General features: G+C 45.6%; 1 protein-coding gene across 3 annotated transcripts in view, besides 1 other annotated feature; it reads right to left on the bottom strand.

Moving 5' to 3' along the window:
* The window catches only part of XDH (xanthine dehydrogenase), an 80,422-nt gene that overhangs the window by 43,664 nt on the left and 21,887 nt on the right, over positions 1–14,871 (bottom strand). For all 3 annotated transcript variants that reach the window (XM_011533095.3, NM_000379.4, XM_011533096.3), the window contains exons 7-13: positions 10,243–10,311; positions 9,827–9,913; positions 8,430–8,571; positions 5,771–5,863; positions 5,017–5,168; positions 3,649–3,742; positions 1,883–1,992 (exon numbers count right to left, since the gene is read on the bottom strand). In XM_011533095.3, the coding sequence (XP_011531397.1) occupies positions 1,883–1,992; positions 3,649–3,742; positions 5,017–5,168; positions 5,771–5,863; positions 8,430–8,571; positions 9,827–9,913; positions 10,243–10,311 (747 nt within the window). The remainder of the gene's footprint in view (positions 1–1,882; positions 1,993–3,648; positions 3,743–5,016; positions 5,169–5,770; positions 5,864–8,429; positions 8,572–9,826; positions 9,914–10,242; positions 10,312–14,871) is intronic.
* Positions 5,043–5,584: an enhancer, noted in NCBI's record as "H3K27ac-H3K4me1 hESC enhancer chr2:31605893-31606434 (GRCh37/hg19 assembly coordinates)". NCBI's record gives its function as "activates a minimal SCP1, AML or CMV promoter by ChIP-STARR-seq in naive H9 embryonic stem cells {active_cell/tissue: H9 hESC(naive)}" and the evidence as "EXISTENCE:reporter gene assay evidence [ECO:0000049][PMID:30033119]".

Raw genomic sequence — 14,871 nt, forward strand, 5'->3', positions numbered from 1 at the left:
CACTCCAGCCTGGGCCAGCAGGCAGAGTGAGAATCTGTCTCAAAAAAAAAGAGAAGAAAGAGAAAGAAAGGAAGAAAGAAAGAAAGAAAGAAAGAAAGAAAGAAAGAAAGAAAGAAAGAAAGAAAGGAAGGAAGGAAGGAAGGAAGGAAGGAAGGAAGGAAGGAAGGAAGGAAGGAAGGAAGGAAGGAAGGAAGCAAGCAAGCAAGCAAAGCAAGAAAGCAAGCAAGAAAGAAAATATCACTATCACACTATGAAACAATCACTGCCCTTGTGCTTTAAACACATTTTCCTTCCTGGGTTCGAGCCAGGATCTTTCTTTAAGGATAGGAGGAGAGCATGAGCTATTTTCCAGGAAAGAGCCACCTGACTTCAGGCCCTTTCTGTGTCAGGTTCCTTTTGAGGTCTGTACTCACTCTGGCACCACAAATTCTGATGAACACCAAAATTAGCAGGTTTAGGGAGAGGAGATCTATTGGAAAAAGCACAATGAGGCCCACAGTTGAGGCCCCCAAATGGCCACCCACTTTTCCCTGAAGAAGCCATGGAGCCCGCTCCTGATGATAAAGCTAGCTCAGCTTGCATGTCATGTGTGGCTCTGGGGCACTGAGCCCAGAGTTTGACCTTTGTTCTGGAACAGAGGTCCCAGGTGCTCACTCCCAGGACTGTGCCCATCCACGGGGACATTCTCGCTGGGGTACAGTGAACTGTCAGTGTCAGGCTGACAATACCCTTTCTTGAGAGTTTCTAATTCTGGGTATTAAAATCTCCTTTCTTTCATGGAAGGATGTGTTTTGTTAATGACCATACCTGGCAAATAAAAACTGAATAGAGCTACACCTGTTTCCTCCCCACTTTCATCACTCATAATTAAAAAAAAAAAGTTTACTGAACTGTGAAATTCAAAACTCTGGGAATCACTGCTCAAAATGGTCTATACAGACAAGCTAGAAAACCATTAAGAAACCACCTCAGGGATATAAATGCTCTAATTTAATTAGCATTCTCATTAAGGAGGTCAAAATTACCAAGGGCAAAACATGCCTTAGAACACTCACTAAAGCTCCAGCTGTGGGAAACCTTCACACTCTCTCTGACAGTGGCTCCCCAAGCCTCTCCCAGATGCCTTTTCTGACAGGCCCTTTTGGATGTGTTCTGAGCTGGTAGCTGCTAAGGGAGGAAAGACCCACACCAGGTCAAGACATCACAGGGCCCAGGGAACAAAGAGGAAGGCAGCCAGTGGTGCCCAGACCTGCCCCAACAGGCCAGAAGAGCCACTCATGAAGCAGGAATCCATCCGCACCAATCCACAGCGAGGTCAGTGAAGCAACACCTCGTCAAGCCTAAGGTCAGCGTATGAGGGTCTGAGCCACAGGCAGCTTCTTCATGCAGCACATGAACCCCACATTCTTTACCACGGGAAAGCAAATTTCCTCTGACATGGGCAGGAATCCTCGACAGCTAGATGTGTTCTTGGAATTCTGTTCTTAGCTGCTGGTCATCTCCACTGGCTTCTAGGCATCACCAGGAACCTTATGAATTGTTTATTTTCAGTCCTCACAATAACCCGTATAGTAAGTGACATGGTGCCCATTTTACAGATAAGGGAATTGGGGCTCAGAAAGGTGAAATGGCTCACTCAGGACCAAGTTTCTAGCTATCTGGTTCCACAGTCCATGCCATGTGGACTCCTATCCTGCAACTTCTCATTGTCCAGAAAGGAGTATGGTTGGTTCAACAGAGGCAAAGTTCAGAGAGAAAAATCATCAATGTAAAGGTTGAGAGATGCTCAGGTTGGTCCCTGAAGCAGATTCTGATCTCTTTGTCTAGAGCCTGGCAATAGGACTTATTTGAGCAGAGCCTGGAACCACTTCCAACATCTCACCTCCCTGCTGTAGGGGATCTCTATGGAGAGCAGTATCTCCTCCGGGCTCAGCAGGGTCTTTCTGTAGCCAGGGAAGAAGGTGTGGTCCATCTGGACAGTTCTCCTGGTGCCTGTACAGAAGCAAGATGAAGAGGAGCCAAAGTGAGGGAAAGGCTGGGAACCCCCCATGGGGAGAAAGGATAACCATCAGTGGGATTCTTCATGCTGGTCTCCAATGCCCACAGTCAGAGCAAATGACTGGCACAATTGGGGCCAAATCCTCTCTCTGAAATCCTTAAGCATCCTTAAGCAATGGTGTGCTGGTGAATCTTTAACAACCAGTTCCGTGTAGGGGGAAAAGCCCTGGTTTATAGCATTTGCCAATTTCTGTGGTGTAAATACTTCCAGGCCACCAAAGTTGCATCACTGAATGTGAAGCTGGGAAGAAGGCAGGAAAGAGTTAGCACAGCAACCCGGACTGCTGTCCTCTGTAGGGGTTGCTTACAAGGCTGGCCCTTGGGAACTTGTACTTCAGAAGGGTTCCCAGTGCTCCATGATGGAGCAGCTCACTGCGCCTAAATTATCTGTACAATCAATAGTTTATGCTGAACCCCTGCTTTCCTTCTGGGAGTCCAGACTTTAGGCACATGCTAGTAGAGGCTGCCTATGTGATGAGCTCCCAAGAAAACCTCTGTCGCTGAGCCTCTAACAAGCTTTCCTGGTAGGCAAGGCATCACTTGTGTTGTCACAACTTATTGCTGGAGGAATTAAGCATGCACTGTGTGGCTCCACTGGGAGAAGTCTCTGGAAGATTGGACCTGGTTCCTCCAGACTTTGCTCCCATGTATCTTTTCCCTTTGCTGATTTTGCATCCTCCTGCTATAATAAGTCATAGCCAGGAATATGACGGCATGCTGAATCCTCTCAGTGAATATCAGAGCCGGGGTGGTCTTGGGGACCCTCTGACAAGGCAGAGATGCACTGGAGCACATAATTGTAGAGCATTTCCACCGTACAGACAGAACAGATGCAAATAACTCCAGGAGCACTGATAACAGCAAAATGAAGTACTTACGAAGTGATGAATTTTGAGTATTTATTCCTTTTGTTTTGAATATAATTTATTTCATTGTAATTTTATACAATTTTATTTTTATTTTTATTTTTTGAGACAGGGTCTCACTCTGTCACCCAGGCTGGAGTGCAGTGGTGAGATCTCGGCTCACTGCAACCTCCGCTTCCCAGGTTCAAGTGATTCTCTTGACTCAGCCTCTCAAGGAACTGGGACTAAAGGCACACACCACCACACCCAGCTAATTTTAGTGTTTTTAGTAGACATGGGGTTTCACCATGTTGGCCAGGCTGGTCTTGAACTCCTGACCTCAAGTAATCCTCCTGCCTCAGCCTCTCAAAGTGCTGGGATTACAGGCATAAGCCACCGCACTACCGCACTTGGCCTGATTTTTATTAATAACTGTGTTTCACAAATGGTTCACAGAATTCCTGAAGATCCAACAGCAGGCTGTGGTGAGCCAGTGCATCCCAGCCCCAGTACCCCACTAGGTAAGGCATGCAGGTAGCAGTTCCTGCTGTGAATTCTCTACAGAGAAAATATCCAGCTTTCCCGTCCACCAAACCAGGTACATTCTCCATGCTTCCCTGGATCCAAATCACAGGGAAAGCTGGGTCACTGAACTTTGAGCTCTGTTTCTCCAGAAAATGACCTATCTGGTGAGACTTTTCTCCCCCAAGTCCTTCTTCCTGGACCTCTGCTTCAGGCAGCTCACCTCTGGACACAAGTGTCAGCTTGGCCCCACTGGCCATGAACACGGGGTTGAGGTCGGAGATGGGGCTGGCAGTGATGATGTTCCCTCCAACGGACTAAAACAAGCAGAGAGCATGCAGTGAGAGCCCACCCCAGGAAACCCCTGCTCACGTAGCAGGCTCCTGAACATACCAGCCAGGTGACACCTGCTGCAGGCAAACCCCTGAGGTCCTGTGCCTACTGTAGTCACAATACCAGCATAGTGAGAACTTCGGCATTCTGAAAAATGCGCAAAATTTGAAATCAGAATACTTGAGATTGGATCCCCACTCTAAAATTTTAGCAGGCAAGCCCCTTTAAGTGTGTGTGTTTGATTGATGATTTCACCCAACCTTTTCCCGAAAGGATTGAGGTGATTTATCACAGAGGCCATATAGACTTAGTAAAATAGAAGATAAAGATCAAGGAAAGAGAGGAGGAAGACTTAAGGTTGAACAATTTGCTCTATTTGGATCTGAACTTCCTGGTAACTTGGCAAAAAAAATGTAAGAAGAATCAGATACAGGGTTCTCGTTATTAGAAAACAGGAAGAAAATCAGTTGCACGATGAAAATACAATTCTTCCTGGAAATAGATTTTAGCAGAACTAGGGAACTCAGCAGAGTTTTTGAGTTTATGTTTCCTTATCTACAGTTTATGTTTCCTTATCTATAATCAGAAGTGACAGGTACTTGGGGTGGGGGCTGGGAGGAATAGGAGTAGGCTGTTTTGTTTTAATTTAAAAAAACAATTTAAAAATGGAAGAGATAGCTTTTCTTCCGACACCATAAACTGTTGTGAAGAGCTTCCATTGGCATAGGGTGTTCGAATGCCACCATTTGCAAACTGGGAATGTGGGGACTTGTCTGAAGGCTGACTGAATAATCAACAGGTGTATTCCTCCCTCTGTGGGAGGGCTCTGTCTCTGGTTCTCCCTATAGCTCTGAAAGGAAATTCCCCTCTCAATTCTGACTTCTCCCTAGCATATCCATATCTCTTGTTCACCTACTGTTTGGCTCAGCCAAGCTCAGGAAGGGGGAGGGAGGCAGGAAGCCTCATCTCTGCAACCACAGAATGAAGCCTATGAGTCGTGGAGTGCATTTCCCAGGGTGCCCCACAGACCACCTTCATCAGAAGCACCTGAAGAGCTGGGCTACATCCCAGACCCATGTATCAGAATCTCTGAGGGTGGGGCCCAGGAATCTGCACTTTAACAAGCACTGCTCCTCCCAGGCAACTCTAAGCGCTAAAGTTTGAGGCCCACTGCACTGACACAGTGAGAGTCTGGCTGCCCTGCTTTCAGATGAAAGCTCCATCCTACGGGCCTCGCTTGCTTCTGAGAGCGACTCACCGCCACAGACTTGACTTGCTTCCCAGCAAACCAGCGCAGCTGCTCCAGGACCCCTCTGAACACCTCTGTCTTTTGGGCAGGAAGCTTAGCAACAGCATCCACCAGGGTTTTTTCCACAATGCTCAGGGGGCAAGCAGCTCCAAAGGAGATACCTGGGAACGCACGTTCGGAATCACAGCAATTCTTCCCACAGTTCAGAAGAGGCTTTCATGCACAGCTCCTCTGAAGCTTTCCAGCAACTGGAGCAAGGCTGAATCAGGACTCACAGCTTTCCATGGATGAGGAAATGAGGGCCCAGAGTGGTTGAGTGACCTAACCAATGCCACACAGCTAATAAAAGAGCCAGTACTCAAGCTTGGGCCTCTTGATCCTACAACCAATGCTCTTTCCTCTAAACCAGTAGTTCTCAACTCATTAAAATCAGAATCTCTGAAGGTGAAGTCCTAGCATTCTTTTTAAAAGCACTCAGGCACAATCCCCACCTCCCCACCCCCGCATGAGTGATTCTAATGTGTAGCCAGAATTGAGAAAAATGATTGAAGATCCCGCAGCCTCTTGCCCACTGGCACCCTACCATGGATGTTTCAGCAATGAATGGGGTCTCCTCCCGCCTTTCCCTGTGCAAGGTGAGCCCCAGGAGAAGCAGGGGGCAGCCAGAGCCAGTGGGGAGACCACCCTGATACCTGCCACCCACCTTGTAACCTATCCCCAGCCTCACAGCCCCTCCATAAGCTTGGAGTGAACCTCCTCTTACCGTCGGGTCCATGTTCTACCGAATTCAGCTCAGGGATCCAGGCTGGGCAGACAATCATAGGAAACAGCATATTCTTGAACTTCATCTCAATGCCTAGAGAGAAACAAGAAGCTGAAGTTGTAGGCCCATTGTTGTATCACCAGGGCAGGCCTTAGCAGCTTTTCTCACCATTACACACAGGATATATGACATATCCACAATCATAATATGCTCTCTGGTGACTGTAGGTGTCTGGGAATAGGAAACTCAGTAGACCAGGGGTGGGATTAGATGCAGTCTTTGGACTGTCAGCCCAAAACTAGGTCTTTCTTTCCCTCTCAAAAAACCTACCTGAATTCAAATGAAATGAGTTTGAATTCACTCTAGTGTGTGTGTGTGTGTGTGTGTGTGTGTGTGTGTGTTTGTGTACATTAGAAAACACAGGAAATTAAGGTATGTCAGGAACCCTTCTAAGCACTTTCCCTATTTTAACTTAATTAATGCTCACAACAACCCTATGAGGTACTATGATTTTTCTGTTTATAGATGAAGAAGCTGAGGCACAGAAAAGTTAAGTTTCTTGCCCAAATCACACAGCTAAGAATAACCAAATTTCAGTACTGGAATGATTATTCGTGTTGGGGTATAATCGTAATAAAAACATGAAAGTTTAACATTAAAACAAAAAAGGAAAATGGGAGGGAAAACTTCAAATCTGTCCTCCAGTTCCCACTATCTGCCTGAGTTCTTCAAGTTGTCTGGCTTTGCGGGGCCACACATCTGTGTGTGGTTTCTGGCCTTCCTGACTAAATGAGTCAGAAGCCTCTGTTAAACAAGTGTGCCTCTGTTCCTTAGACCCAGTTGGCTCAGCACCTCTCCCAGCCCTGCCAACAGTGTATAGATGGAAAAGGTTAAAAAAGAAATACCTGTGACCTCTTTGCCCCCCCTTCCCCCCAGGTGCTGTTTAGGATTTCTGAAGGGGGCCCTAGGCTTTGTGGATCCCCAGATTCCAGAATCTTCAAAGCTCCCTTCAGAAATCCTAGAAGCACCTGAATACCAGCCCCTTTTGAATATCAGCTTCCAGGACAAAGAACACAGATTGAAGCAGCAAGTTCTACGTTACTAAGGTTTTCTCTTTGTCTGCCTTCCCCCAACACTCTGCGTTGACTGGAGGTGACTATGCTATTGGGGTATGTATAAGAGAGAAGGGAGTGGCGCAGAAGGAAATGGTCTTGAGAAATCATTTCTAATTGTGGAACTTAGGTAATCTTTGTTATTCATTTCTCTTGGAATCCAACTGGGCCCAGGACATTGGATGGCTCATGGCAGGGAGCATGCAAGTGTGAAATGATCCCCTTGAGGCTGGGGTGGGGGACCACATGAGCCCATGAGTTTGAGGTGAGCTATGGTGACATTGCACCACTGTATTTCAGCCTGGGCAACAGAGTGAGACCCTGTCTTTGAGGAAAAAAAAAGAAGGACCTCCTAAGATTCCCCCAGCCACCTTAAATCAAGCTACACCTGAGCTACATGAGCCATGAGTCCTGTTGAGCCATGGCCATCAAGATCACATTTCTTGAGGTGTGTCTCAGCCCACCCTGCTGCCTCAGTGTGTCACAAAACCACAGTTGGGGACTCTATCTTATGTATATGTGCGCACGAGGGAGGCGTCCATTCTGACTCCATCAGCACTGACCCAAGCCAGGCTCTCCTCTCTGTGGCTGAGGAGCCAACCAGAACTCAGGGCTTGGCAGCTCCTTCAGGAACCAGAGCCAGGACCTGACTGCTTAGAAGGAGAGCATGCCCCTCCACAGCAGAGGTCCTCAGCTGTCCCACGGTCTCCTCCTTAGATCCTCACTAGGCTTGGGATCCAGCAAAGTAGAAATAGGCCATGCCAGGTTTAGAAATCGACAGAGATTAGCAGGGACCTGGGAACCTCTCCCCATCTCTTACAGCACTGGGGCTGAGAGGTGCATATTCTGAGTCTCCCAGCCTGTTCAACTATTCCAGGCCTCACGTCCTAGGTGGTAGCACTGACAGGGCAGGTGGCCATGGTCATAGGCAACACAAACACAGTCACACCTGGAGCTCTCCTCTTCTTTACCTTATCACATCCTCCCCCAGAAAAAGTGGGGTGGTGGGGTCAAAAGCGACATTTATGGAACCTCTAGTGTCCATCAGCCACTGGCCTAGACACTTTGCTTAAATTAGTTCCTCCTCCCTTAGACTAGAAGGCCCTTGAAGGCAAGGAACCATGTCCAATTGAGCTTTGTATCCCAAGCCCCTTCCAGAGTACCTGGCTCATGCTCGGTGCTCTGTAAATGTTTGTGGAGAGAAGTCAACTACATGCAAGGATCTCATTTCACACCCAAAACAATCCTTCAAGGAGTTGTTAGTATCCCCATATAAAAAACAGAAAATGAGGGTAGATGAGGACAAGCAACTTTTCTGAGGTCACACATCCAGCAAGGGGCTGAGCCAGGCCTGTGGGACTCCACAGCTAGGGGCCTTTGCAGGAACTGGAGTGTCCAGGGATTTCCAGTGGGCTCCAGGTAGTCAGTGGGGCAGAGGGATAGGGTGCAGAGGCAAGTAAAGTCAGGGGGAGGTGAGGATGGGCAAGAGGACCTAGAAACACCCCCAGACCCCCTGGCAGCCCCAGGGCAGCCTCCCTGGCCCTTACCAATCTCCGTGTTCCCCACGACCAGCTTGGCGTCAGGGTGCTGAGCCTTGAGGTCCAGCAGCTCCTTGAGGGTTGAGGCCTGTATCCACGTCACACGCTCCCCTTCAAATCGCAGCTGCTTCCGAGGAGTGTCTTTCAGCCTCTGGGAAATGCAGTTTTCTTACTACACTGTCTCCCTCTTCCTACTGTCATTCCTCTTATAAATTGCTTTAAGTCCTCAATGGGATGTTTTACTGACATTCAGAATGAAAATATCTAACAGGAAGAAGCAAGGGGAAGTAATATGTTCAGAGGCAGGAACTCCATTGGGACTAGTCTTTACAAGACTTCCATGAAGGAGGCATTATGAGCCTCATTTTCACCAGTGAAAGAAGATCCTGAGGGTCAAGGAGGTTATGGGACCTGCTGAAGGTCACCTGCCATGAGGGGTCCCCAACAGACCTGGCTGAAAGCCAGATTCCTTGCAGTGCCCCATAATATCTCCAGGGGGCACCATGGACAAGGCATGAGAAGGGAGGGAGGGAGGGAGAGAGGGAGGGAGGGAGGGAGAGAGGGAGGGAGGGAGGGAGGGAAGAAAGGAAGGAAGGAAGGAAGGAAGGAAGGAAGGAAGGAAGGAAGGAAGGAAGGAAGGAGTTTGTTATAAGGGGATGCCTAGGAAGGCTGGCTTTAGTGCTTGCAGGAAGACACTGGGCTGAGAACGAAGCCCTCAAATCGAACTGCCAGTATTTTCAAAGTTTCACAGTCCAGAGAAAGATCTGCTGGTGGCCTGCTGCAAAGCCATTCTCTCTGGCCTGTTGAAGCTACAAGGTAGTTTTCATAGCTCAAAACTCTGAGAAGTGTGCACTTCAAAAACTCCGAGTGGCTTGATTCTTTCGTTGCCATAAATATTAGAGTGATGGTGATAAAGTGGGTGTGAGGGGGTTTCCTTAAGACAGAGCTGTGAGCTGCAGATCATGTCCTTTGAAGAGAGCTCTCGTTTTTTGTTTTGTTTTGTTTTGTTTTAAATAAATGGATTGCTTATAGAGGGAATACGTTTCTTGGAGTGCTTATGTATTAGATATAGGCAGGAGATCAACAAATGGTTATAGTGAACCTGCTACACTACACAGTGTGCCTAGAGAGCCAGTCCCTATCCTCATGGGGCTTGTCATTTAGCAAGGAACACAGACATCAAATTAATAACTGTAACTGTGACACACATGAACTGAAGTGCAGGGGCTGTGGGTACACATAGCAGAGACTCAACCTAGGGGAGTGTCAGAAAATGGAAGGGAAATTTAAGCTGAAACATAAAGGACAAGAAAGACACAAAGTTCCCAGTGGGTATGAAAATAAAGCAGGTTTCCAGGGACTCACAGTACAGACCCGGCTGGATCTGTCCCTGAGGCATCACCTACCAGCAACTCTGGGGGAAAAATGGGCTCCTGGGTTGGATCCAGGGGCGTGAACTCCTCTGGTTTGAATAAAGATGGCGAGAGGCTGACCTATGGGGAAAGAGAACAGGTAGGTGATGCAGTATCTCCTCCTTTCAAACACCCAAGAGGACCAATTCAGCCTTTCCTTCCAGCAAGCTCATTCCCAGCCCCCTGCAGGCTGCAAGAGGAGCAGGTAATCCCTGGGAGGCAGGAATGAGAGAGTCTCAGTTACAGGACCCGGGGCTAACGTGCACCATCACCATCCCCACAGTCTGCCATCACCGACTCACCGTAGGTTCCTCTTCCAGCCCCCACCGCCAGGGACATGGAGCTCGTGCACTGACTCCTCTAAGTCTCAGATTACCCCCAGGCTTCCAGGGGGAGAAGAACTCACTTACTGAGTGGTCTTTCTTCTGGTTCATGCAGCAATTTGGATTATTCCCATCTCCTCCACAGCATCCACCATCCTAGAGAGATGATGAACATCTGCACAAGGGTATTTACAAAGAGTATTTGCAGAAGCTAAGGAATCTAGATTACTAATATCCAGAACACTCCAGCTCTGACGCCTGTCCCAGCATCAACAGCAGGGGCATCCTGCCTGCCTGTTGCCCAGAGTGGAGGCCTCCGCTACATTCCCTCTTGCTTGGCTAACGTAGATTAAACAACTCATGGATAAACAAATAGGAGCAACAAGGCCACTGAATTTCAGGAACTTTTCTCCATAAAAGCTAGGTCCTACTTTATCAAAACCTATCCCTTATGCCCATTTCTCTTCTTCAGTGCTGCTTCCTCAGGAAGCGTCTATGAGGGATATTCCCATTGGCTCTCTCAAGACTCAAGAGGCTTGACTTCCAGATCAGCAAGGTTCTAGGGGCGTGGCTGGTGTCTCCCAGGCTGGGCTCTCTGCAGGACCCTGCCAAAGGATGTCCAAGACGGGTGCTGAGCCCAGCACTGTGTCCAGCCAGTGTGCCCAATGGCCTCCCTACTGCTTATTAGGCACTTCTTCCCAGAAAGGTAAACACCCTTCACTCCTCACTGTGGGCCTGTTCTGGAGAAGTATGCAGGTCAGACCACCCAGCATCTCTGGGAAAAGACTTGCTCAGGACCTCTTAGGATACCAGTGGCAGAGCACACACAGAGTCTAGAATCACTACCACCCAGCACCGAGGCACTGCAGGGTGGCAGAGGGGCGCACTCAGCTGACTGATCTGCAGCTCAGGGCTTCAGAAGACAGAGTCCTGGAGTTGTGCTGAGATGAAAAAGTAGGGGAAACTCATAGGTTCTGCCTCAGGCACTTTTATCGGGTAGTCAATTCCTGAAAAAGCAGGCTGGGAGCAGTCCTTCTGCAAGTCAGCCACAGGAGACACCATGCCATGCTGGCATTTTCCAGAGTCTGTTTCACAACTCGTTGTCTTCTGCAAGAAAGCACTCATGGGATGCTGGAGGTGTGACCTTGGAGAAGTTGTAAGCAGGCAGGCAGTGGCATCAGGAGAGAAACACCCCACCCACCCCACCACCTGGACACGCTGCTCCGTGTGCAGACTCTTCCTGCATTCACAGCTCCAGCACTGGACACCAGACCTGCTCCGTCCATTCTGAGCCTCCCCCCAGCCAGCCACCTTGCACTTCCCCTCTATATTTAGAAAGAAAGAAAGGAAGAAAGAGAGGTTTCTTAGTGCCTTTTCTCACCTTTCTTCTTGGAGAAGGAGTGATGTAGGGAAATGCCCTGGCCTACCTGAAGTGAAAGTCCTGCATCCCACTCACCTGGCCCTCTGAGGAAGGACATATTTCACAGAAGCGCCTTTTCCAGACAAAGTGCCAGTGCATTATTACTTAGATCTATTTTCTTGATAATTCATTGGTGTGTTAATGACATAAATTACTGTGATGTACAGTAATGCATCACTGCCCTCAAGGTCTATTGAGGTTGGATAAGACTACATTTTCTCATCCCCACCCTCCTGAGATTCCTACTTTACTAAATAGGCTAAGGCTTCTGCACTGGTGCCTTTAAAAAAAAAAGTTTTTTTTTTAGAGTGGTTTAAGGTTCACAGAAAAAACTGAGTGGAAGATGTAGAGAATTCCCAAATACCCCTATCCCAACATACACGCACAACCTTTCTCACTTCAGTATCCTCAAAAGTGGCATATTTGTTACAACTGATGGACCCACATTGACACATCATTATCACCCAAAGTCCATTAATTTACATGAAGGTTCACTCTTGGTGTTGTACATTCCATTGGTTTTGACAAATGCATGATTACAGGTGTTGACCCTTATGATATCTTACAGAAAGAGTTATACTGCCCTAAAAAACCTCTGTACCCTGACTATTCATCCCTCTGTTTCCCCTAATCACTGGCAACCACTAGTCTTTTTACTGCCTCCATGGTTTTGTCTTTTCTAGAATTTCATAGAATAGATATCATACAATATGTAGCTTCTAAAGATTGATTTCTTTCACTTAGTAGTAGCAATTAAGGTTTGTCTATGTCTTTTCATAGCTTGATAGCTCCTTTCATTTTGGCACTGAATTAACATTCCATTATTTGGATGTTCTACAGTTTATTCACCTACTGAAGGACATCTTGGTTGCATCTAAGTTTTGGCAATTATGAGTAAGGTTGTTGTAAGCATGCCTGTGCAGGTTTTCATGTGGCAATAAGTTTTAAATTCCTTTGAGTCAGTTCCAAGGTGTGTGATCACTGAGGTGCATGATAAGACATGTTCAGTTTTGTAAGAAACTGCCAAATTGTCTTCCACAGTGGTTGTGCAGTTTGCATTCTCACCAGCAATGAATGAGAGTTCCTGTTGCCCCACATCCTCACCAGAATCTGATGTTGTCAGTGTTTTGGATTTGACCATTCTAATAGACCTGTGGTGGTATTTCACTGTTCTTTCAATTTGCAATTCCCTAATGGCATATGATGTCGAACTTATATGCTTACTGGCCATCCATATACCTTCTTTGGTGAGGTAGCTGTGCAGGTCTTTTACCCATTTTTTAATTTAGTTGTTCATTGTCTTATTGCTGAGTTTTATAAGTTCTTTGTATATTTGGATAAGTACTTTACAAGATGTGTCTTTTGCAAATATTTTTCTCCCAGTGTACCGCTTGTCTCCTCATTCATCGTTATTAAATTTTAATGAAGTCCAGCTTATAATTATTTCTTTTATGGATCATGCCTTTGGTGTTGCATCTAAAAAGTCATCATCATTCCAAGGTCATCTAGGTTTTCTCCTATGTCATCTTCTAGGAGTTTTATTGCTTTACACTTAGGTTTATGATTCATTTTGAGTTAATTTTGAGAAGTGTATAAGGTCTGTGTTTAGATTCATTTTTTTTTGTATGTGAATGTCCAACTGTTGCAGCACCATTTATTAAAAAGACAATCTTTGCTCCATCGTATCGCCTTTTCTTCTTTGTGAAACATCAGTTGACTGTATTTATGTTGGTCTATTTCTGGGCTCTCTATTCTGTTCCATTGATCTCTTTGTCCATTCTTTTGTCCATTCTTTTTGTAGTATGGACAGTGTCCATACTACACTGTCTTGATAACTGCAGCTTTGTAGTAAATCTTGAAATTGGGTAGTGTCAGTCCTCTGACTTTGTTCTCTATTCTCCTTCAATATTGAGTTGGCTATTCTGGATCTTGTTCTTCTCCATATAAACCTTAGGATCAATTTGTTGATAGCCACAAAATAATTTACTGGGATTTTGATTGGGATTGCATTGAGTCTACAGTTGGGAACAACTGACATCTTGACATATTCAGTCTCCTTATTCATGAAAAAGAAATATCTCTCCATTTGTTTAGTTCTTTGATTTTGTTCATCAGAGTTTTGTAGTTTTTCTCACATAAATCTTGTACACACTTTTTAGATTCATACCTAAGTATTACATTTGTTGGAGAGTATTAATGTAAAACGTAAATGATAATGTGTTTTGAATTTCAAGTTCCACTTATACATTGCTGTTACATATGAAAGTGATTAACTTTTGTATTGCCTCTGATTCTATCTTCTGGAAGAGATTGTGGAGAATTGACATAATTTCTTTTTTAAATGTTTGATAGGATTTACCAGTGAATCTATCTGGGCCTGGTGCTTTCTGTGTTAAAGGTTATTAATTAATGATTCAATTTCTTCAATAGTTATAGGCCTATTCAGATTATCTACTTTTTGTATGAGTTTTGGTAGCTTACATCTTTCAAGGAATTGTTTTATTTCATCTAGGTTATCAAGTATATGAGCATAGAGTTGTTCTTAATATTCCTTCATTATCCATTTAATGTACATGAGCTCTATAGTGAGATCTTTTTATTTTGATATTAGTAACTTGGATCTTCTCTTTTTTTTCTTAGTTAGCCTGGCCAGAGGCTTATTAATTTCATTGATCTTTTTAAGGACCCAAATTTCAGTTATGTTGATTTTCTCTATTGATTGTCTGTTTTCAATGAAATTGATTTTTGCTCCAAATTTTATTTTTCTTCAGCTTACTTTGAATTTAATTTGCCTTTTTTTTTCTAGTTTTCTAAAGTGGGAGCCCAGATTGCTGATTTTATTTGTATTTTATTTTTATTATTTATTTATTTATTTATTTATTTGAAATGGAGTCTCACTCTGTCACCCAGGCTGGAGTGCAATGGCGCAATCTTGGCTCACTGCAACCTCCACTTCCTGGGTTCAAGTGATTCTCCTGCTTCAGCCTCCTGAGTAGCTGGGATTACAGGTGTGTGCCACCATGCCTGGCTAATTTTTGTATTTTTAGTAGAAACAGGGTTTCACCATGTTGGTCAGGCTGGTCTTGAACTCCTGACCTCGTGATCCGCCCGCCTCATCCTCCCAAAGTGCTGGGATTACAGGCATGAGCCGTCGTGCCTGGTGGATTATTGATTTTTAATCTTCCTTTCTAATATATGCATTCAATACTATAAATTTCCCTCTAAGCATTGTTTTCACTGCATCTTGCAAATTTTGATAAGCTGTATTTTCAATTTCATTTAATTCAAAATATTTT

This window comes from Homo sapiens, chromosome 2, assembly GCF_000001405.40.
Source record: "Homo sapiens chromosome 2, GRCh38.p14 Primary Assembly".
NCBI classification, from domain to species: Eukaryota; Metazoa; Chordata; class Mammalia; order Primates; family Hominidae; genus Homo; species Homo sapiens.